At 54.8% G+C, this 22,232-nt stretch overlaps 1 protein-coding gene, 1 long non-coding RNA gene and 1 pseudogene across 16 annotated transcripts in view; 1 reads left to right on the forward strand and 2 right to left on the reverse strand.

Annotated features, from left to right (window-relative positions):
* LOC101060126 (atrophin-1-like) lies at window positions 1–943 on the reverse strand (annotated as a pseudogene).
* The window catches only part of C1orf167 (chromosome 1 open reading frame 167), a 27,393-nt gene continuing 5,975 nt past the window's right edge, over window positions 815–22,232 (forward strand). For 5 of the 15 annotated variants that reach the window (XM_024446506.2, XM_011541272.4, XM_011541278.3 and 2 more), the window contains exons 1-15: window positions 815–927; window positions 2,318–2,408; window positions 2,953–3,092; window positions 4,479–5,707; window positions 5,843–5,886; window positions 6,699–6,897; window positions 7,595–7,749; window positions 10,146–10,258; window positions 10,704–10,881; window positions 14,057–14,232; window positions 15,086–15,260; window positions 17,282–17,438; window positions 17,548–17,702; window positions 18,424–18,632; window positions 20,811–20,955. In XM_024446506.2, coding sequence (XP_024302274.1) covers window positions 2,344–2,408; window positions 2,953–3,092; window positions 4,479–5,707; window positions 5,843–5,886; window positions 6,699–6,897; window positions 7,595–7,749; window positions 10,146–10,258; window positions 10,704–10,881; window positions 14,057–14,232; window positions 15,086–15,260; window positions 17,282–17,438; window positions 17,548–17,702; window positions 18,424–18,632; window positions 20,811–20,955 — 3,140 coding nt within the window. In that variant the 5' untranslated portion in view covers window positions 815–927; window positions 2,318–2,343. Of the gene's footprint in view, window positions 928–971; window positions 995–1,071; window positions 1,340–1,518; window positions 1,657–2,317; window positions 2,409–2,436; window positions 2,663–2,952; window positions 3,093–4,478; window positions 5,708–5,842; window positions 5,887–6,698; window positions 6,898–6,969; window positions 7,033–7,590; window positions 7,750–10,145; window positions 10,259–10,703; window positions 10,882–14,056; window positions 14,233–15,085; window positions 15,261–17,281; window positions 17,439–17,547; window positions 17,703–18,423; window positions 18,633–20,810; window positions 20,956–22,232 lie in introns of those variants that run through there. The other 10 variants (XM_024446514.2, NM_001010881.2, XM_024446507.2 and 7 more) reach the window with 9 other exon arrangements.
* On the reverse strand, window positions 15,699–18,241 carry C1orf167-AS1 (C1orf167 antisense RNA 1). Its single transcript, NR_126000.1, has 3 exons — window positions 17,745–18,241; window positions 17,267–17,429; window positions 15,699–16,906 (listed from the first exon to the last, which is right to left on the reverse strand). It is a non-coding gene; the product is annotated as a C1orf167 antisense RNA 1 (long non-coding RNA).

Raw genomic sequence — 22,232 nt, forward strand, 5'->3', positions numbered from 1 at the left:
TTACTGAGGGAGAGGGCCCCAAAGTGGGCCTTGAGGGGGAACTGGAGGCCCCGGAGTGGGTCTGGGTGGAGGGAGAGTCCCCCCCGGAAGCCATAGGGTGGGTGTTGGGGAGGGCCAGTGTATCCATGAGGCAGCATCGGTGGAGGAGGTCCACACATACCATGGAGGCATAGGACGTGAGTGACCCATGGGAGATCCAGACCGAGACCCCTTGGGGGACATGCTCATTGGAGGAGGTCCAGGATGAGGCATTCCAGGTGGTGATCAGGGTGGTGGCTGCCCCCCAGATCCTGGGGTCCCATCACGGGTGTGTCCTCAGCCATGAGGGCCATGGTTTGCCAGCTGCATCTGAGACATCCCTGGATGGGACATCGCACCTATTGGGAACGGGTGAGGATGTGAGTGTCCATGACCCGGATGTCCTGCCCCTGGGGTTCCTACCAGTGGGAGCCGGGGGCATGTCCTGCAGCCCCAAGAGGCATAGGTGGTGGGGACATGGCTGGGGGTATCCCAGATGTGCGGGGGCTCCAGGAGGCAGCTCTAGGTGCGGGAAGGAGCCAAGAGGAGGCACGCCTGGTGGAGGAAGCCCAGACCCCAGTGATGCTGCCACAGGATTCGGGGCAGAGGGTGGAGGAGGTTCCCGGGGACCTGATGGCCAAGAGAATGTCGCTCATCTTGCACGTGCAAAAGTTGCCCTGGGACCACGTGCCTTGCCTGCGGAGGACCCGGCAAAACCTGTACCAGGACGTCGGTGGCCACGCCCACGGCTCAGGGCTGGGCGGGGCCAAGCGCGGGGCAGCACGCTCTGCTCTCCGACGTCCCCTCCCGCCCGCGACCTGCCGACCTGCGGGGATCGTTAGCGGTCCCAGCCCCCGTCTAGATTCAAATCCGACTGGGTGAAGGAGGACCCGAGGAGGACCCACGCACGTGAGGGCAGATCCATGAGGGCAGGAAACTGACCTCAGACTCTTTTGGTGGCAAGAGGAGGGAGGCTGTGAGCCCCCTTAAGTGGACAGGGGTGGGGGTGGAGTGGGAGGGGGGAGTCTGAGGGAGACGGACGAGGAGCGGAGAAATGGACCGAAGAGCTCCGGCGTGAGGGGCAGGGGTGCAGGAAGGTCTCCTGTGGATTGAGCGGCCTCAAGTCAACTTGGGCAAGAGGGGATGGTGGGGTGTTCTTGGTTAGGAGTCTGCGCTGTGGAGCCAGCCCTGGGGTGCTCCCTCTGAGGCCTTGGGTGGGACAGGCCCTTCTAAGCTCCTGTCCTCATTTCTAAAACAGGGAACCTAAGTCCCAGGGCTGCAGTGCAGATTAAATGGCAGGACGCCTGCTGAAGGCTGCAAGGTGCCTAGCACGGTTGTCATTTATTCAATGTGCATTTACAAGCCCCTGCTGGGGGTCAGGCATTGTTCTATGGGCTGCAAATCCAGCAGGGAAACAAACAAACAAAAAAAACCAGCCTGCCCTCGTGTGGCTCCTAGGCCACTGGAGGGAGAAATACACTAATTTCTTCACTATGTTAGGTGGCCGCAAGTGCAGGGCAAAGAGAGTGAGGAGAGGCCAGGTTGCTGCAGTTGGAGAGACAGTGGGCAGGGAGGGCTCACTGTGATGTGGGAGGCAAGACTTGAAGGCAGAGGGGACAGCAGCACAGAGGCGCTGAGGTGAGGTCGTGTGTGCCATTTGGAGGAGCAGCCAGGGGGCTGGTGTGTGTGGAGGACAGTGGGCAAGGGGAAGAGGAATTGGGGAGGACCATAACTGGCAGCCAGATTTTAAAGACTTTGCGGGGCTGGGTGTGGTGGCTCACGCCTGTAATCCCAGCACTTTGGGAGGCCGAGGCGGGCCAATCACCTGAGGTCAGGAGTTCGAGACCATCCTGGCCATCATGGTGAAACCCTGTCTCTACCAAAAAATAGAAAAATTAGTCTGGCGTGGTGGCATGTGCCTGTGGTTCCAGCTTGTTAGAGGCTGAGGTGGGAGGATCCCTTGAGCCCAGGGAGGCAGGCGGAGGTTGCAGTGAGCCGGGATCACGCCATTGTACCAGCCTGGGTGGCAAAGTGAGACTCCGGCTCAAAAAAAAAAAAAAAAAGGTTTTGCAGCCTAAGGTATCTTGCAGCTATTGAGCTCTGCTATTGCAGCTGGAAAGCAGACAGTCTGTAAACAAATGGGCTTTGTTTCAATATAACTTTATTCACATAATAGACCACTGGCCCAGGCAGTAATTTGCTAACCTCTGGCCTACAGCCTTGAAGGCTCACGGGGCATTGAGGGGGCTGGAGAGCTTCTGTGGCATTAGAGTTGAGGCAGGGCATGATTTGATTTCAGTGTTTACAGGATCACCCTGCCGCCGCATGAAGAGGAGGCTGTCGGGCGTGAGGACGAGGCAGAATAAGGGTGACCAGTTGGGAGGTGGCAGGTGAGGGCCACTCCGCCCAGTGCTCCAGGGGTCAGATCCTGGATGCGTGTGGGAGGCAGAGCCTGTCAGAGCAGCCACTGGTGTGAGGGAGAAGGGGAATCGGGGTGGCTCCAGGATTTTTGTTTGAGCCACCAGAAGGCCGGAGCTGCCATCCGTGGAAAAGGGGGGCACCAAGATGGGAGAGAGCTGGTTGCGAGGACGGCTGGAGTTCAGTTTTGGACATATTAATGCTGAGATGCCTGTTAGACATCCGGGTAGGCGTGGAGGAGGTCGCTGGACCTGCATGTTCAGACCTGTATGCAGATCAGCCGAGAGGTCTGGGGGGCAGGATGGGGCAGCATTTGACCTGGACACTTAATATGGAAAGGGGGGTGATAAGTAGGGCAGGGAGAGGAGCCACTGAGAGACCAGAACAGTGAGGGGCAGGCCCCAGGCAGCTGGGACCAGGCCAAGAGCAGCTAGGAGTACTGCTAAAGGGAGGAGGTAGGGATCAGAATGGGGTGGGGTTGAATGAGAGCCAGGGCAACCTGTCCTCTCCCCGCAGGGCCCATCTGATTAAACAGACCAGGCCACTCACTGTGGAGTGGACCAAGGATACTCCTGTCCCTGAGCCCATGGAGCTAAGGTCTGATGCCAGCCACAAGGAGAATGTGTCCCCAAAGCCTGCAGCGCTCCCGAAGCCAGGCAAGAGGCTTAGTGGGCCTGGATGGGCAGTTACAGGAGCAGGGCCCTCTCTAGGTATTGGCCCAGAGCCCCCCTCCCAGGCAGGCCAGCCTATAGGGCCTGGCTAATTCCAGAGATCAGCCACCCACGGTCGGCTGGACATAGGACAGAGTCTTCCCAGCCTGGGGCCTAAGGAGGGGGGTCTTGGGAGAGTGAGGTCAGGAAGAGGCCTGGCTGGTGCCCCTGGCTAAGATGGGGCCCCCACAGCTCGGTCCTGGGGACATCCCTTCTCAGGCTGCTGAGGCTTTAAGAAAGCCACAGAGGGCCGGGCGTGGTGGCTCACGCTTGTAATCCCAGAACTTTGAGAGGCCAAGGTGGGTGGATCACCTGTGGTCAAGAGTTCAAGACCAGCCTGGCCAATGTGGTGAAACTGCGTCTCTACAAAAATACAAAAATTAGCCAGGCATGATGGCGGGTGCCTGTAATCCCAGCTACTCGGGAGGCTGCAGCAGGAGAATCACTTGTACCCAGGAGGCGGAGGTTGTAGTGAGCCGAGATGGCACCACTGTGCTCTAGCCTGAGCCACAGAGCAAGACTCTGTCTCAAAAAAAAAAAAAAAAAAAAAAAAGAAAGCCACAGAGCTGGGCCAGCCAAGAAGGGGAGCAGCCCAAGAACAAATGTAGATTCTTGAATTCACATCCCAGTTTCTTCGTGTTCCAGCTGTGTGACCATGAGGCAAGTTGCTTGACCTCTCTGAGCTTTAGTTCCCATCCACAAAGGCAGTAACTTTTATGGCCCACTCTACCTGCCAGGCCCTGCGCCCAGAGCCTCCCGGTACCTCATCCATCCCCACAAGGACTCTGTGCCTGTGGAGTGGGCTTGGGGGCTGGGGAGGAGCTCCAAGGCCCCTCTCCATGTTCCCAGAGCAGCTTACCTTTAGCCGTGGCTCTATGGGGTCCTGCTTTCACCCCAGCCCACTGCCCCCACCACCTCTTTGCTCAAGCCAGAAATCAAGGAGTCCCCCTTGATTCTTTTCTTTTTTTTTCCCTTTATTACCTGACTCTTCCAAGCCCGCTGGCTCCATCTCTGAAGTTTATCTGAATCTTCTCTTTACCCACCTGCTACCCCGATCCCACCACCGTCATCTCTCTCCTGGGACCCCCTCAACAGCCTCCTAAATATCTCTCTGCTTCCCTCTGTCCAGCTCCAAGACCCCCCTACTCCAAGAGCCCCCGGGGCTGCCCATGGCTTCACCCAGGGAGACAGAGCTGGCAGAAGACCCTGGAAGTCTTAGCTCCCTCCCGCTGCTGGGGCCCTGTCCCCTCCCTGGCTCCGAGGCCTGGAGAGCTTCGCCTGTCCCACCTGAGTGCCAGCCACCCAAGTCATGACTGTCTCTCCTCTCTTTAGAGCAACGAAGATTCCGGAGGAGCCTGGGCATCGGCCTGAGTGGTAGACATGACCAGTGGGTGCCCGGGTGCCAGGTGGAGAGGGGAGGGCCTGCTGCCACACCCTCCCCAGGGGCAGTGCTAGACCAGGAGCCCTGCCGAGTCCAGACCAACCTGGCCAGCCCTGGTCCCCGCCTGGGCCTAGCTCTGAAGGACACGACTGGCCAACTGGTCAATTCAAGCTTCTGGCAACAGAGCAACCTGCAGTCCCTGGCCAGGAGGCGCCAAGGGAAGGCCCGAGAGTTTGCCATCCAGCAGAGCAACCTGAGCATCAACGAGACCAGCAGCCCCCACCTCTGCCCAGAGCCTGGGGGAAGCTCTGGGCCCCACAAGCTTCCCTGGGGTCCTCTCCTATCCCAAGAGCCACTGGCTCGCCCATCTTCCTGCCTGAGGCAGTCCGGGCTGCCGGCCCCAGGCACCCCTAGCGGGGACTTCAGGCCCACTGAAGCCTTTGCCCCTCTCGATGGGCATACACAGCCAGGCCTCAGATCCTGGGGTGGTCTGGGGAGCTGGAGGTCCAGGCTGGTGGGGGAACCTCTCACCCTGGAGGACCTGGCTGTCCCCAGTCAGAACCAGACTCAGGCCCCATCCCGTGCTGCCGTCCACCAGCTGCTGGCTTCTGTACATTGCCTGGCGCAGGAGGCAGCCCGACTCAGGTGCCAGGCTCCCCAGGAACCCCCCGGTGCTGTGCAGCAGGACCTCTGGACCGGCGGCGGCCAGCCATTCTCCGCCCACCCCCAGCCCAGCCAGCCTGTCCTTGCTTCCTCGGATGGGAGGAGGAGACGCCTTCGAGGCCACAGGGAAACTGCGGCTTTCTTGGAGACCCCGGCTAGTCTCTCAGACTCTTGGGCACAAAGCAAGCTAATGTCACCTGAGACCACTTTGGGGACACGGACCAAGGATTCCCTTAATCCTGAGCAGGGGCTCCCTCCTGCCCACCCCCTAGGGTCAGGGGACAGCTGCTCCCCCTGGTCTCAAGATGGCAGGGCACAGAGGGGTGACCCCAGTCTCCCTCGAGGGGTGGGAAGCAGGGGGACCGACCCCTGTTCCTCAGCCTTCTCCAACACAGCCTGGGGAGTCTCACCCAAGCAGAAAGGAGAGGAGGGGGCCCCGAGGGAGCGGGTCCACAGGGAGGAGGAGAGGACAGCTTTCCATCTGTCAGACACAGTCCCAGCGAGCAGTGCGTCGAAGGTAGAGGCCCGGGGAGGCTGGAGGTGGGGTAGGGGGTAGGAGGTGTTGCTCCAGGGCAGGGAGGCTTGGCAGGGGGTGCCCTGTCCTGCCTGCTGCTTGGCCTGAGAACTGTGTTATGTACTCTTGCTTTCCCAGAACAAGGCACAAAACATCACAGCCCCAGAGTCTGAGGCAATCTGGTGAGGCCATGGCTGGGTGGGGACAGGGGTTGGAGTTGGGGGACACGTGCTCAGGACTCCGCTCCCATTTGCCTGTCCAAATGGAGATGAGGGCCTGATGGAGAGGAGGCAGGGTTTCAAGGAAGAGGAACTTACTACCTGTCCCTGCTGGGGGATGAAGGGAGCCTCCAGGGCCCCAGGGACAAGAACGAAGGGACTGATGCTCATGGGTTTGGGACACTGAGTGTCCTGAACTTCCAAGGCCACCCTGGGTTTTCGGCAAACAGGGCAATCTCTGGCTGGATGCGGTGGCTCATGCCTGTAATCTCAACACTTCGGGAGACTGAGGCAGGCAGATTGCTTGAGCTCAGGGGTTCAAGACCAGCCTGAGCAACATGGCAAAACCCCGTCTCTACAAAAAAAATTACAAAAATCAGCCGGGTGGGGTGGTGCATGTCTGTAGTCTCAGCTACGCAGGAGGCTGAGGTGGGAGGATCACTTGAGCCCAGGAGGTCGAGGCTGCAGTGAACCGTTATCATGCCACTGCACTCCAGCCTGGGTGACAGAGCAAGACTCTGTCTCAAAATTATATATATATAAAAGAAATAAAGAGGGCATTCTCCCACCCCCAGGGCCTTGCTTGTGTGGGGTTTCCAAGTCCAGCCATCAGTAAGAGGGAAGTTCTTCCAGTCTGCAGTGTGATACTCCTGTTGTGGCGTGGGTCATCACCCTACTGATTGCTGGAAAGGCATCTCAGAGGGTATCCAGCCACTGGGCTGTCCCTGGGGATAGGAGGGCAGTCCACACCCTGATCAGCCCTGGTCTGTCCCCAGCTGGCAGCTGTTGTCCAGATGTTTTCGATCCTGGAGGCACTTGGTGAAGAGGCAGCGGGAGCCAGCGGCGGCGGCAGTGGCACTGGGCCGCTGGCAGCTGTTGCGAAAGTGCCTTCAGGCCTTGTGGCTCCGGGAGGCTCAGCTGGAGGCAGCATGGGGGCAGTACACAAAGGTTCTGCTGGTCCGGAGCTTCCGAGAGGTCAGCGGTCTCCAGGTTGGGCCAGGGGGCCGTGTGAAGCAGTGGTGTGTCTGGGGAGGAGACTCAGTCTACGGAGAGGACACCCACTGGGCATAGGTGGCACCTCATGAATGATCAGCAGTAAAGGGTGTAGTTGTGAGTCCACACACCTGAATCAGCTCTGCCTGAGTTCAAATCCTGCCCCCTCTACCACTTTCTAGCTGCGTGACCTTGGGCAAGTTACCTAACCTCTCTGTGCCCCAGTCTCTTTATCTCTAAAATGGGATGATGATGATAATAGAACATACCTCTCTCAGGGTCGTTGTGAGATTAAATTAATAAGGGACTCAGAACTCTGCCTAGCATATAGCAAGCTAGTAGATAAGTGGTTGCTATTTTTTATTAGAGGTTTGCCAGCCAGGGCTGGGAGGGAGCATCTGTGTCCTTCCCTCCTTGGGAAAGGGGTGCTCTGAGAGGGTCCAGTCGCAGCTTTCATCTTTTAAGGAAAGCGTTGCCTCTTGGGATGCATCGCTCTATATTTGTTCATTCATTCATTCCTTCATTCCCAAAGAAGGAATGAATAGGCAGAGTAATGGTTAAGACCACAGGCTGTGGAATCTGATAGGCATGTGTTACTCCTGTCCCCGCCCCTGCCTGGTGTTCCCTTGGGAGGCAGATTCAAGGCCAACATCTCCTTTCCCCTTCTCTCTTGAGCCAGTGGAGAAACCTGGCTTTACAGCAGAAACAAGTACAGCCCCACATGCAGGCTGGGCCAGGGTCCCCGCCCTCCAGGAGAGCCCAGGGCAAAGGCCTCTCCTTGGGAAGAAGCACAGTGGTGGACCCCGCCCAGAGAAGCAGGCTGGAACACACCAGGTTGGTCAGTGTTGCCTGGGAAGCCGGTGGCCTTTCTTCCCCAACTTCCTGCCTTGCCCCCACTACTTCCTCATCCCCACAAAAGAATGGGAATGAAATAAGCAGATGTGGGCAAAGATTTATGCAAAAAAGATGTCCATCATGGCATCATTTATAATTGTAAAAACTTCAAAACAGCCAGGCACGGTGGCTCACACCTATAATCCCAACACTTTGGGAGGCCTCGGCCAGGAGTTAGACACCAACCTGGGCAACATAGCGAGACCCCGTCTCTAGCAAAAAAATGTAAACATTTAGCCAGGCATGGGGGCATGCTTGTAGTCCCAGCTACTCTAGAGACTGAGGCAGGAGGATCACTTGAGGCCAGGAAATCAAGGCTGCAGTGAGCTATGATCATGCCACTGCACTCCAGCCTGGGCAACAGGTCAAGACCCTGTCTCAAAAAAACAAGCTGAAAAGCAGCCTAAATGCTCAACAGTGAGTGAGGAAATGATGGTTTGACCATGTGATGAACAATTAGCAACCATCCAATATGATGTTTAGGAAGTTTTTTTTTTTTTTTGAGATGGAGTCTCGCTCTGTCGCCCAGGCTGGAGTGCAGTGGCACAATCTCAGCTCACTGCAAGCTCCGCCTCCCAGGTTCACGCCATTCTCCTGCCTCAGCCTCCCGAGTAGCTGGGACTACAGGCGCCCACCACCATGCCCGGCTAATTTTTTGTATTTTTAGTAGAGACGGGGTTTCACCGTATTAGCCAGGACCTCAAGTGATCCACCTGCCTCGGCCTCCCAAAGAGCTGGGATTACAGGCATGAGCCAGCCACCACGCCTGGCCAGGAAGATTTTTTACTGGTTATGTTTCCAATCATAGCAGTAATGCATGCTCAATTTGAAAAATATTCCAAATAGTTGGAAGTCTATTAATTAACTTGAAAGCTTCATCCTTTCATAGCCCCCTCCCTGGAAGTATTTTTATGAATATTTGCATAGCATTTTTTAAAAAAAAGGGAAAATGGTGTGGCAATGTTAAATTTTTCTTAAAGGAGCATAAAAATGTATCCAAAATATTTTTCCCAACCACATAGTTGCATAGAAACCACATGGTGCATAGAAAAAGGACCAGAAAGAAAAAAAAAAACCTGAAAATGTGCAATGTGAAAATCCCTAACACTGCTGAACTGTACACTTAAAAATGGTTACAATGGTAAACTTTCTGATGTGTATTTTACCACAATTAAGGAGTAAAAGATATTTCATTTAAAAATGCTAAAATGGAAACTATGCTTATCTCTGGGACAGTGGGATTAAAGTCGGTTATATTTTTCTTTTTTTTTTTTTCGAGTCAGAGTATCGCTCTGTTGCCCAGGCTGGAGTGTGTGGAACAATCTGGCTCACTGCAACCTCCGCCTCCTGGGTTCAAGCGATTCTCCCGCCTCAGGCTCCCAAGTAGCTGGGATTATAGGCACACACCACCACGCCTGGCTGATTTTTTTTTTTTTTTGTATTTTTGTATTTTTAGTAGAGATGGGGTTTCGCCATGTTGGTCAGGCTGGTCTCAAACTCCTGGCCTCAAGGTATCTGCCTGCCTCAACCTACCACAGTGCTGGGATTATAGACGTGAGCCACTGCGCCCGGCCTCTGGTTATTTTTTTCTTTATTTCCCCAATTTTCTACTACAGTTGGGTATTTTTTTTTTTTTAAACAGAGCCTTGCTCTGTCACCCAGGCTGGAGTACAGTAGTGTGATCTCTGCTCACTGCCACCTGTGCTTCCCAGGCTCAAGCAATTCTCATGCCTCAGCCTCCCGAGTAGCTGGGACTACAAGTGTGTGCCACCACACTGGCTAATTTGTGTGTGTGTGTGTGTGTGTGTGTGTGTATATATCACCTCTGGCAGCGTGTGTGTGTATGTGTGTGTGTGTGTGTGTATATATATATATATATATATTTTTTTTTTTTTTTTTTTTTTTTTTTGTAGTAGAGACGGAGTTTCACTATGTCGGCCAGGCTGGTCTCAAACTCCTGGCTTCAAGTGATCTGCCCGTCTCAGCCTCCTAAAGTCCTCGGATTACAGGTGTGAGCCACCATGCCTGGCCATGTTCTTATTTTTAAATTGAACAAATGTATTTAAATAATTATTTAAATGATATTTATTTTAATACATGTTTGTTGTTTAAAAAAATCCAAATAGTATTAAAGAGAATAAATCAAGAGCAGAACCTCCCCCCAGCAATAGCTTTTAAATCCGACATAAAATAAACTGTCCAGAAGAGGGTAGGGGGACTCAGCGCCCCCTGCTCCCAAGGGCAGACCGCACCTGCCTGGGGTGGGGCGGACAGGTTGGGACCGAGTGCCCTTCCTCCCGGGTCATCAGCTTCTCTCTGGGCAACTTTGCTTTTAGTCCAGGAAGTCTGAGGGAGGAGGAGATTGCTCAGCGGCTTCTGTCACATCCTAGGCAGAGAACAGACAGCAGACACGAGAGAGTCCAGATCCTGCAGGCCCTGCAACTGGCTGGTGAGACGTGGGGTGCTGGGAAAGCGGGGAGATGGAGCCTGGCCACGCAGGGCCTGAGCTCCACACTGGGCAGGGGCGGGGGACCCTGGGCGAATGAATGTTTATTTTGCATCTGCTTTGGCACATTCCCAGAGACAATCTCATTTGAGCCTCACAGTGACCCCCAAGAGGAACTGTGCCCATTTTACGGATGGGGAACTGAGGCACAGATAAGTTAAGTGACTTGTTTGAGGACACACAGCATGAGAGGAGCACGGCCTGCATTTCTGGGCTGATACACTGATGCAGGCCCACACCAGAGGCTGGAGTATTGGAGCTAGACTTCACTTACTCAGAGATGGGGGGTGCCCTGCGACAGGCACCCCACATGTCAGGGGCCCCTCCTGGCTCAGATCCTCCCATCTGCTTACTCTCTCTTTTCTCTCCCTCCTCCCTCTCTCCTTAGTGTTCTTCCTGTGGTGCCAACAGAAGAAACGGGCCAGACAGGAGAGGGAGACTCTGCGGAAGGCCACCAGGGCCACACAGAGGACAGGGAGCTTCCCCCAGGCCTGGCACTCTACTGCTGCAGGTGTAGCCTGGGTGGCCCCACTGAGCCCCCAGCACCAGAGAGCTTGGCTGTGCAGGTAGGATGCCCTTCCCTTTTTTTTGAGATGAGGTCTCACTCTGTCACCTAGGCTGAAGTACAGTGGCACCATCTTGCTCACTGCACCCTCCACCTCCCTGGCTCAAGCAATCCTCCCACCTCAGCCTCTCGAGTAGCTGGGACCATAAGCATGTGCCACCACGCACAGCTAATTTTTTTGTATTTTTGATAGAGACAGGGTTCCACCATGTTGCCCAGGCTGGTCTCGAACTCCTGAACTCAAGTGATCTGCCCACCTTGGCCTCCAGAAGTGCTGGGATTACAGGCGTGAGCCAGCATGCCTGGCCCCCACTTCCCTTTAAGTCAGCTCTTGACTCCTAGTATTGAGAGGCAAGGATGCAAATAGGAAATGAAAGCAGCCATCGACTGAGCATGCCTAGAACATGCTAGCCCGCCCCACTGGCTGGGATTTGGATATAAGCAAAGCTTAGTCCCGGCCTCCCACCTCTGCCCATCATCACAGTGGAACCCATGGCTGGTGGGGGAACAGACAGGAAACTAGCAGTCCCAAGGGTGTATGTGAATACCACCTGGCTTAAGTGTTGTGAAGAGAAGGAACACAGATCTATGAGTTTCTTTTTTTGCTCCCTGGTGGTTAACTTTTTATTATGGGGCATTATTATTATTATTATTATTTGAGACGGAGTCTCGCTCTGTCACCCAGGCTAGAGTGCAGTGGCACGATCTCGGCTCACTGCAACCTCCACCTCCTGGGCTCAAGCGATTCTCCTGCCTCACCTCCCAAGTACCTGGGACTACAGGCACATGCCACCACGCCCGGCTAATTTTTTTTGTATTTTTAGCAGAGTCAGGGTTTCACCATATTGGTCAGGCTGGTCCTGACCTCAGGTGATCCACCCACCTCGGCCTCCCAAAGTGCTGGGATTACAGGCATGAGCCACCGCACCCGGCCTGTGGGGCATTTTTCTTACTCAAAAGTAGAGCAGATAGGATAATAAACCCCAGCGCACCAATTACCCAGCTTCAACAAAATCAGCCTCTCTTGAAGCTTGTTTCATGTGTACTCCAAATACATCCCCCGCTCCAAATTATTTTGAGGCAAATCCCATGCATTATACCATTTCATCCATAAATATTTTTATATGCCTCTCTAAAAGATAAGGACTCTTTAGAAACATAACCACTGGCCGGGCGCGGTGGCTCATGCCTGTAATCCCAGCACTTTGGGAGGCCGAGGCAGGTGGATCACTTGAGGTCAGGAGTTTGAGACCAGCCTGGACAACATGGTGAAACCCCATCTCTACTAAAAATACAAAAATTTGTCGAGTATGATGGTGAACACCTGTAATCCCAGCTACTCGGGAAGCTGAGGCATGAGAATTGCTTGAACCCGGGAGGCAGAGGTTGCAGTGAGCCGAGATCGTGCCACTGCACTCCAGCCTAGGCGACAGAGTGAGACTCCATCTCAGAAATAAGTAAATAAATAAATAATAAAAACATAACCACAATACCACTCTCACAACTAAAAAATAATGAAACAACTGTTCCTTAATACTCACGAATATCTGGCCAGTATTCACATTTGCAAGTATATATTGTATTAGAGTTTGCAATGAGGTCCATGTATGGCAGTTGGTTGATAAGTCATTCAAGTCTTTTTATTTTTAATTAAAAAAAAATAGAGACAGGGTCTTACTGTGTCACCCAGGCTGGAGTGCAGTGGTGCAATCATGTCTCACTGTAGCCTCAAATTCCTAGGCTCAAGGGATCCTCTCACCTCTGCCTCCAAGTAGCTGGGACTATAGGTGCATACCACCACACCTGGCTAATTTTTAAATTTTTTGTAGAGATTTAATTTTTTGCCACGTTGCTCAGGCTGGCCTCGAACTCCTGGACTCAAGCAATTCGCCCACCTTGACCTCCCAAAGTGCTGAGATTACAGGTGTGAGCTACCATGCCTGGCGAATTTTAAAAAATTTTGGTAGAGACAGAGTCCCACTGGTGAGCCATGATCGCACCACTGCACTCCAGCCTGGGCTCAAGCAATCCTCCCACCTCGGCTTCCCTGAGTGCTGGGATTACAGGTGTGAGCCACCACGCCCGGCCTGTTAAAATCTTTGTAAACTATAGGCTCCCCTTCATTTTTTTGATTGCACGTTATTTGTTGAAGAAATCAACTTGCTTGCCTGCTAGTTTCCCACTGTCTGCATTTTGCTGACTACATCCCCCTGGTGTAGTTTTCTGTGAGAATTTTTAGTGCAGGAAGCTGACCTAGACCAAGGTTCAGTGGTGATGTGAAGGATGAAGAGTTGCCTGGTGGAGGAAGATCAGAAAAGGGTAGAGTGTTCAGAGGCCTCTGGCCGGGAGTGTAAGATCCTGAGGCGTAGCAGAGCCGAATTGGACCCTTGTTAGTACAGGGTAGGGGGGCTGAGGGTAGTTGAAGATGAGATTGGAAAAATCTGTGGGGACCAGATCAGCACCTGGTTGGCTGTGGGGAGGGGCTGAAATTTGATGGTAGAGCAAGGAGGCTACCGCTGGAGGATTAGCAGGTGACTCTGATGATTTGATTTGAGATTGGAAAAACACCACTGGGTTACTGAATAGGAAATGACTGGAGGAGGCCGAAAGTGGATGCAGGGAGGCCAGGTCAGAGGCTGCTGAGGCCACCACGCTGCCAGAGGTGATAGTGTCATGGCCTGAGCAGGTGACATGCAATGCATCTTCAAAGCAGCCCCATTTTACAGATGAGAAAACGGAGGCTTGGCCAGACGCGGTGGCTCAAGCCTGTAATTCCAGCACTTTGGGAGGCCAAGACGGCCGGATCACTTGAGGTCAGGAGTTCAAGACCAGCCTGGCCAACATGGAGAAACCCCATCTCTACTAAAAATACAAAAAAAAATTAGCCGGGCATGGTGGTGCATGCTTGTAGTCCCAGCTACTTGGGAGGCTGATGCAGGAGAATCTCTTGAACCTAGGAGGTGGAGGTTGCAGTGACCAGAGATCGCACCATTGCACTCCAGCCTGGGCAAAAGAGTGAAACTCCGTCTACAAACAACAACAACAAAACACGGAGGCTCAGAGAGATGAAGTGGCTTGCCCAAGGCCTGGGTAGTGTGTCTGGCAATGGCAGGCAGCTGGAGCCGCAGTCATCAGATCTTGCAATTGACATGGGTACTTTCCCTCTGTTCTCCCAGGTGCTTCGGGGCGTGGCAGCAGTTCGTGCAAAGAGGGTCCCGGTACCGAGACCACCTGGCTGACCGCCGGACGGGGACCCTGAGGAAATGCCTGGAACAGTGGGTGCGGATGAAGCAGCTCCGGGAATCAGATGGGGCAAAGGTGACCCAGCTGTCCCTCTGCCGGCAGAAAGCAGGTGAGCTAGTGTTGGCTTCCGCCCCAGCAAACCGTGTCACTTAAGCCCCTTCTTCAGTGGTCCCCAGTTGAATATGTGAATTCTTGTGGGAGGTGATAGAACTGGGGCTTTCTAGGAGGGCAGCCTGTAGGCCTGGGAGGGTGCAGGAGGGGTCCCAGAGTGGGCAGGCCCCAGCTGAGCCACATCCCTATGTCCCATTATGAGCTGCTGTGGGTGACAGACTTGGTTCTGCTCCTCCCACTGCAGGCTTTCTCAGTGCTGGTATCCTAGATCCTGCCCAGAAGGGATGTGGGCCCTGCTCTTGGGAAGCTCCTGGTGTGATGGGGGACACACAGCCCTAATCCCCACCCCAAAACTTAACTGGGGGCCCGGTGTAGTGGCTCACGCCTGTAATCCCACACTTTGGGAGGCCGAGGAGAGTGGATCACCTGAGGTCAGGAGTTCCAGACCAGCCTGGCCAACGTGGTGAAACCCTGTGTCTACTAAAAATACAAAACTTAGCCGGGTGTGGTGGCGCATGCCTGTAATTCCAGCTACTCGGGAGGCTGAGGCACAAGGATCGCTTGAACCCAGGAGGCTGAGGTTGCAGTGAGCTGAGATCGTGCCATTGCATTCCAGCCTGGGCGACAAGGGCAAAATTCTGTCTCAAAGAAACAAAAAACAAAAAACAAAAAAACACTTAACTGGGGAAGATGGGATCTTTGAGGTGACCTGGAGGGGAGGGCTTGGAAGCGGTGGGACGGGACAAGAGGGGAGAGCTCCCAAGAGGGGCCTGAGGCAGCAGCTATCAATGGCTGTGGGCAGAGTGAGGTCAGTGGGGAGGCAGCTGACTGGACTCTTGACGGTTTCTCAGGACGTGAGGCTGTCTACACCGCAGGCCCTGGAGCCTGTGGCCTGGGTGCAGTGGGCCAGGCCCAGGGGCAGCAGGAGCAAGGCCGGGGCTCCCTGCAGGATGCCTGCTGGACACTGGCCCTCTGCTGGGCGCTGCTGCTGTGGAAGATGCGGCTTTTCCAGCGCCAGTGGGCCAAGTAGGTGTCCTCGAGCTTGTGACCTGGGGTTGGGCCTGGGGGCTGTGGGGTGGGCACGTGAGCAGTGCTCAGCACCAGGAGGAATGCGGGAGGAATATCCCATAGGGCAGTAACTGCATCCCACTCCTCCCCGTGGCCCTGCACAGGGCCTGGCACACTGCGGTGCCCAGCCAATGTCAGGCCCTGGGAGGTGGCCTAGGGACACTGGAACAGTGATTGAGCAGAGGGCCACTGGGGGCCAGGGGGCTGCCAGAGACACAGACATGGAGCTCTACAGGGGTGGCCGGAACCCTAGTGAATGCCCGTCTCCCTGCCAAGTGTAAGTCCCTGGTGGCAGGAACCATGTCTGTCTCGCCGTCACCGCTGGCTCCCAGCTCCCTGCAGGTGCCTGGCATGTTGCAGGCACAGAATAAATACTGTAAAGGAACAAGGGCAGGAGCCAGGGATCAAGCTTTTATCTCCTCTCCCATTGGCCTCATTACACAACTAGAGAAACTGAGGCTCAGAGGGCTGGAGCAGCTTGCTGTAAATCCCAGTGGGAGTCAGGAGCAAGAAGGTCCTGTGTTGAGACCTGGGTGCTGCCCCCACACAAGATGGTCACTGATGGAATTCGGAGCCCAGAAGAAGGCTGTAGGTGAGGGGAGGGTGGCGATCAGGAGAAGCCAGCTTCCCGGAGGGGATGTCAGGAGGAATGGAAGCGAGCAGTTGCAGGGTTAAGAATTCTGTCCTTGGCTGGGCGTGGTGGCTCACACCTGTAATCCCAGCACTTTAAGAGGCCGAGGCCAGTGGATCACCTGAGGTCAGGAGTTTGAGACCAGCCTGGTCAACATGGCGAAACCCCATCTCTATTAAAAATACAAAAGTTAGCCAGGCGTGGTGGTGCTCGCCTGTAATCCCAGCTACTTGAGAGGCTGAGGCAGAAGAATGGCTTGAACCTAGGAGGCAGAGGTTGCAGTGAGCCAAGATCATGCCACTGCACCCTGGACAACAGAGCGAGAATCCATCTCAAAAAAAAAAAAAAGGAATTCTGTCCTTGAAAGCCACACACCCACATGGTCCACATGGACCCTCAGCCTCTTTCAGTGTACCCCTGCAACTTCAGGGGAATTCAATTCACCGTGACCTTTCAGAATGTGGGGGCACTGCTCACATGCCTGCCCCACAACCCCCAGGCCCTCCCTCTCCAGCCCATCCTCTGGCCTTTGGACTTCAGGGCACAGTTCATATCTCCTGGCAGCTCTCCCGGGGCACCCTCCTGGGCCTAGATGAGTCCCAGGTCTGCTGCTATTTGGAGTTTGGGGAAATGATCTTCCCCTGGGCTCAGCTTTCTTATCTTTATAAGTGAGTGCAGGCAGAAGTACTGGTGTGGTTGTAGGGGTGGCCTCTGGAGTCTGGGATCCCTGAGCCTGGGGACCAGCTCCACCTCTGATCAGCTGCTTGGGCTCCCAGCCACCCCGGGAGCATGATGAGGCCAGCCAGTGAAGCAGGTGGAGCACTAGCTCGGTTAGCCAGACGTGGTGGCACGCACCTGTAATCCCAGCTGCTCGGGAGGCTGAGGCGGGAGAATCACTTGAACCCAGGAGGCAGAGGTTGCAGTGAGCTAAGATTGTCCCACTGCACTCCAGCCTGGGTCACAGAGCCAGACCCTGTCTCAAAAAAAAAAAAAAAAAAAAAAAAGCATCAGCCCAGTCAGCCCAGTCTCAGCTGCTCACTGAGGTCACTCAGAGAACCCCAGAAAAAGTCTGGAAGCCCAGACTGTACCCTGACCATTAAGTCAGAATCTAGCAGAATCTAGGGTGGGACCCTGGTGGGCATCGGTACCTCTTGAAGCCCCCAGTGATTCCAGCATGCAGCCGCTGTGGGGGGCAGCAGCGTGGAACGCTAGCCCAGCGTCTGGCCTGTGGCGAGCACCCTTTCAGCCCATCTCTTTCACAGCGGCCAGGGTAGGGTAGCCCCTGCTTGGCCACCCTGCACAGCCTGAGGGTGAGGCTGGGTGGGTCACTCACCTGCCCCTTCTCTAGCTCCTTCTTCCAGGGCCTGCAGCAGCGGATGCTGCAGCGCAGCCTGAGATGGTGGCACTTGAGGGCACTGGGCCCAGATGCCACATCAAGCTGCACCAAGACCCCCTCGGCTCTGGAGCCACTGAGCAGCAGCACACTCCAAGACTCTCTGGAGAAGGTGAGAGGTAGGAGGGTGGGGAGGGGCTGGGGCAGGTAGGGGTGGATGGGTGGAGATTGTGGGAAGGGGACAGGGTAGGGGACCAAGGACTCCACATCTCCTTCCCCAGGTTCCCAGGGCCCCCACCCTCCCGGACACTCTCCAGGGGAGCCTTCTGTGGGCAGCTGGGCAGCGGCAGCAGGGGCAGTGCCTTCTGCTCTGGCAGGCACGGGCCCAGCAGTTCCAGGGCACAGCCAGGTGGTACCAGCATACCCGCCAGAGGCGGTAGGGATCCCTCCCCATCCGCCCGCCACTCTATGGACTTACTGTTTCCCGGCCCCTTCTCCCTTCCACCCTTGGCCTTCACAGCAGCAGCCCCTTGGGGTCTGCACCTCAGGGGGCTTCAGTTCCTCCTGTCTTCCTGCCCCGTCCTACTGAGAGGGTGTCGGGGAGTGGTGAGGCACTCTACAGAGTCACTGTTCCTCTTGGAGATTTTGCAGCTGAGGTTCCTTCATTTATTCATTTATAGCACAATGCATAAGAGTTGGTCTCCCTGGGTTCTAATCCCAGCTTTGCCCCTCATTGGCTGTGTGATCTTGGGCAAGTTGCATAACTTCTCTGTGCCCTATTTGCCTATCTGTAAAATGGGGTTAATAGTACTGGCTCCAGTGGGGCAATGGCGAGGCACGGCACATACATTCCCCAATGCCGTGTGTGGCACGTTGTGAGTGCTCAGTCCATAGCAATGTTTATGGCTAGTGGTTGAGCACAGGACTTGGCAGTGGGGGTCTAGAATCCCACCCTATCCCCACCACTCATCATCGTGACCCTGGGAGAGGTGCTTGGCCCCTCCAGTCCCCAGCAACCCACCCTCCCATAATGGAAACAGAAGAGTCACCCAGAGCCTCCTGCTGCTGGGGAGAGGAAGAGAAAGGAGGGTGGGGCAGGGCTGGCCTGGGATTTGGGGGACAGTGGCCATCCTCAGGGTGGACCCTCCCTTTCCCAGCATCTTCCTCAGCTGGAGCCGCTGGGCAACAGCCCAATGGGCCTGGAGAGAGCTGGCTTCCCACCGGGCCTGGGATCGGACCTGCAGGGCTGTGCTGGGCCTGTGGCGTCAGCGGCTGCTGCAGTCACGGCTGGTGGAGTGGTGGGCCCAGGAGCGGGGCTGGCGGCTGGCACGAGATGCCCTATGCCACTGGCACTCCTGTTGGCAGGGTGAGTGGAGACTTGGTCGGGGGCACTGCGGGTGAGGGCAGGGCCAGGGTCTGTCTGAGACCCAGACTGCAGCCCTGGCCAACAACTTGACTGTAACCGCATGGGAGAACTTGAGGCAGAGGCTAAGCTACATCTGGACTCCTGACCCATAGAAACTGTGAGATAACAAACATCTGTGGTTTAAAACTAATAAGTACTTGGGTAATTTGTTACACAGCCATAGCTAACAAATGCAGTTGATCAGAGAGGTCCGCTGAGCTGTGACACTGACCTAGCTGGGTTCAAAGAAAACAGGCTGACCAACTCTTACACATTGTGCTATGAATGAGCAAATGAATAGACCTCAGCTGTGAAATTTCCAAGAGGGACAGTGACTCTGCAGAGTGCCTCACCACCCCCCATACCCTCCCATCCCGTAGCAAATTCTGGTGATGAGACCCCCACAGGGCACACCCAGGAGTCAGGTGGCAGAGCAGAACCTGGGGGCTTGGACTCTGTAGTCTTGAGTTTGAATCCCTGCTCTTCCATACCCTGACTGTGTGAAACTTAAACAACCTAGTTAACCTCCCTGAGTCTCAGCTTACACATCTGTAAAATGGGGATAATGTAGTCCCTATGTCATCACCTTTATCTTCATCCTTATCCTCACCTGGCCTCTAGGAGTCACTGGTCGGAGCCCTGAGTTGGGAGAGAAGTGGGCAGAGTCATGGTGCCCTTAGGGGCCAGCAGAGTTAGTCAGGGAGGGTCCCAGGAGGAGGTGAGGAGGGCTCAGCGGGCAGAGCAGTGGCGAGAGAGGTTGAGGCGTGGGAAGGGGTCAGCAAAATAGGGCAGTGGGAAGGACTGGATTTGCAGAGGCTGGCTGAGGGTGCAGTGTGTTAGAAGCCCTGAGGAATGTGGCCAGTGAAGGGAGGAGGGATGGTCCCAAGGCAGGCTTGCTCTCTGGGTCTTGGCCTCTGGGCAAAAAGAGCTGTTGCATGGCCCAACCAGTCTTTTTTTTTTTTTTTTTTTTTTGAGACGATCTCGCTGTGTTGCCCAGGCATGCAGTGGTGCGATCTTGGCTCACTGCAACCTCCACCCCCTGGGTTCAAGCAATTCTCCTGCCTCAGCTCCCCTCGTAGCTGGGATTACAGGCGCCTGCCACCACACCTGGCTAATTTTTGTATTTTTAGTGGAGATGGGGTTTCACCATGTTGGCCAGGCTGGTCTCGAACTCCTGACCTCAAGTGATCAACCCGCCTCGGCCTTCCAAAGTGCTGGGATTACAAGCGTGAGCCACCGCACCCGGCCCCAACCAGTCTCTTTATAACCTGATATCAGAAGTGACATCCCATTGCTTCTGCCAAATTCTGTCTGTTAAAAGCAAATTAGTAAACCCAGCCTGTATTCAAGGCGGGGCATTGCCCAGGACACGAACACAGGATGCTGTCTTGGAGGCTGCCCACTACACCGACATATCGCATTAATGAGCTGGCAGGCAGGGCTGTGGTGGTTCTAGAAAGTCATGTCCTGTCCGCTGGAGACAGCTGCTTATGCAGCCCAATCATTCCCCGGCAGGAACACTGAGCCAGTGTTTCCAGAACTTCTAGTTTTTACAGAAAAATTGAAAATTAGATTTTTGGGCCGGGCGCAGTGGCTCACGCCTGTAATCCCAGCAATTTGGGAGGCCCGGACTGGCGGATCACGAGGTCAGGAGATCGAGACCATCTTGGCTAACATGGTGAAACCCCGTCTCTACTAAAAATACACAAAATTAGCCAGGCGTGGTAGTGTGCGCCTGTAGTCCCAGCTACTCGGGAGGCTGAGGCAGGAGAATGGCATGAATCCAGGAGGCAGAGGTTGCAGTGAGCTGAGATTGGGCCACTGCACTCCAGCCTGGGTGACGGAGTAAGACTCCGTCTCAAAAAAAAAAAAAAATAGAAAATTAGATTTTTACCTGAATTCTCCAGATTTGAAAATACTGTGGCAAAATTAACAAACAAAAACAAACCCAACAACTCTATGAGCTGGGCTGGCCTGGTCACCAGCAGGACACCCATAATAGAGGCTTTTTAACCCAGACAGTCAGGGTGGCCTCCTCTGTTCCCACCTGGTAGGGGGCGAAGGGCTGGCTGCGTAGAGGCCCATGGGGAGAGGCTGGGGTGAGCACCCAGTGGCTCTTCAGCATCTCTCTGGCCCCAGGGCAGCAGTTCCTGCATGAAAAGTGCCAGACATGGGTGCAGGTCCACCTCCAGGGCCTGCAGAAGGTGGTGTTCCGGAGCTGGCAGCAGGCAGCAGCTCATCAGAGATGCACAGTGACCCGGCCAGAGCAGCTGCTACTGCAGAGGTGGGTGGGCCTGGGGGTGGGAGGGTGTTGGTCCTCCCCACGCAAGGAATAGCAAGGAGAGCACCCAGGGGGTGGGAAGCTCAGACGGTGGCCCAGATAGGAGGCCTGTGGCCTGGGAAAAAAGGGGCATGAAGGGAGATCCTAGCCTGGAAACACAGGGCCATGACCACTGACACCTTATTACCTATTTTGGGAGTGGTGGCAAACCCCACCCCTAACCTGTGGCCCCAACAAGCCCCGGGAGTCCAGCTCCTGGCCAGGTCAGTTCTTTGGTTTTAGAGGATATGATTAAGATGGGAGAAATCAGCTGGGAACAGTGGATCATACCTATAATCCCAGCACTTTGGGAGGCCGAGGAAGGTGGATCACTTGAGATCAGGAGTTCGAGACCAGCCTGGCCAACATGGTGAAACCCCATCTCTACTAAAAATATGAAAAATTAGACGGGCATGGTGGCAGGTGCCTGTAGTCCCAGCTACTTGGGCTCAGGCAGGAGAATCACTTGAATCCGGGAGGCGGAGGTTGCAGTGAGCCGAGATTGCACCACTGCACTCCAGCCTGGGCGACAGTGCGAGACTCCATCTCAAAAAAAAAAAAAAAAAAGGAGGAGAAATCCACTCCTCGGAAATCTACCATAACGCCCATTGTGAGGAGTTACAGCAAGGAGAATTCTGCTGTACACTGTCGCTAAGAGAAGAGAGTGAAATCTTCATTTAAGTAAAGATGTTCTGGTGGAACATGTATACAGTTCATGAATGCATATTGTAAAACCAAGCAGAGGACACAGAATGGCTCCTCCCACAGTTCAGTACAAATTTGCGAATGTTCAGTGTCCCCGTGGGGCAGTGAACTGTTGGCTACAGAATGGCTGACGTCTGTGCTTTTGCATCTGAGGGTGTAGATGGTTATTTTGTTTGTTTGTTTGTTTTTTGAGACAGAGTTTCGCTCTTGTTGCCCAGGTTGGAGTGCAATGGCGCGATCTCGGCTTACCACAACCTCCGCCTCCCGGGTTCAAGTGATTCTCCTGCCTCAGCCTCCCGAGTAGCTGGGATTACAGGCATGTGGCACCACACCTGGCTAATTTTGTATTTTTAGTAGAGACGGGGTTTCTCCATGTTGGTCAGGCTGGTCTCGAACTCCCGACCTCAGGTGATCCGCCCGCCTCTGCCTCCCAAAATGCTGGGATTACAGGTGTGAGCCACTGTGCCTGGCCGTAGATGGTTTTTTTTCTTGGCTTCTCACTGAGTGAGAGATGGTGTTCCTCTCCCTCACCAACC

The sequence above is a fragment of the Homo sapiens genome, chromosome 1 (genome assembly GCF_000001405.40).
Source record: "Homo sapiens chromosome 1, GRCh38.p14 Primary Assembly".
Lineage (NCBI taxonomy): Eukaryota > Metazoa > Chordata > Mammalia > Primates > Hominidae > Homo > Homo sapiens.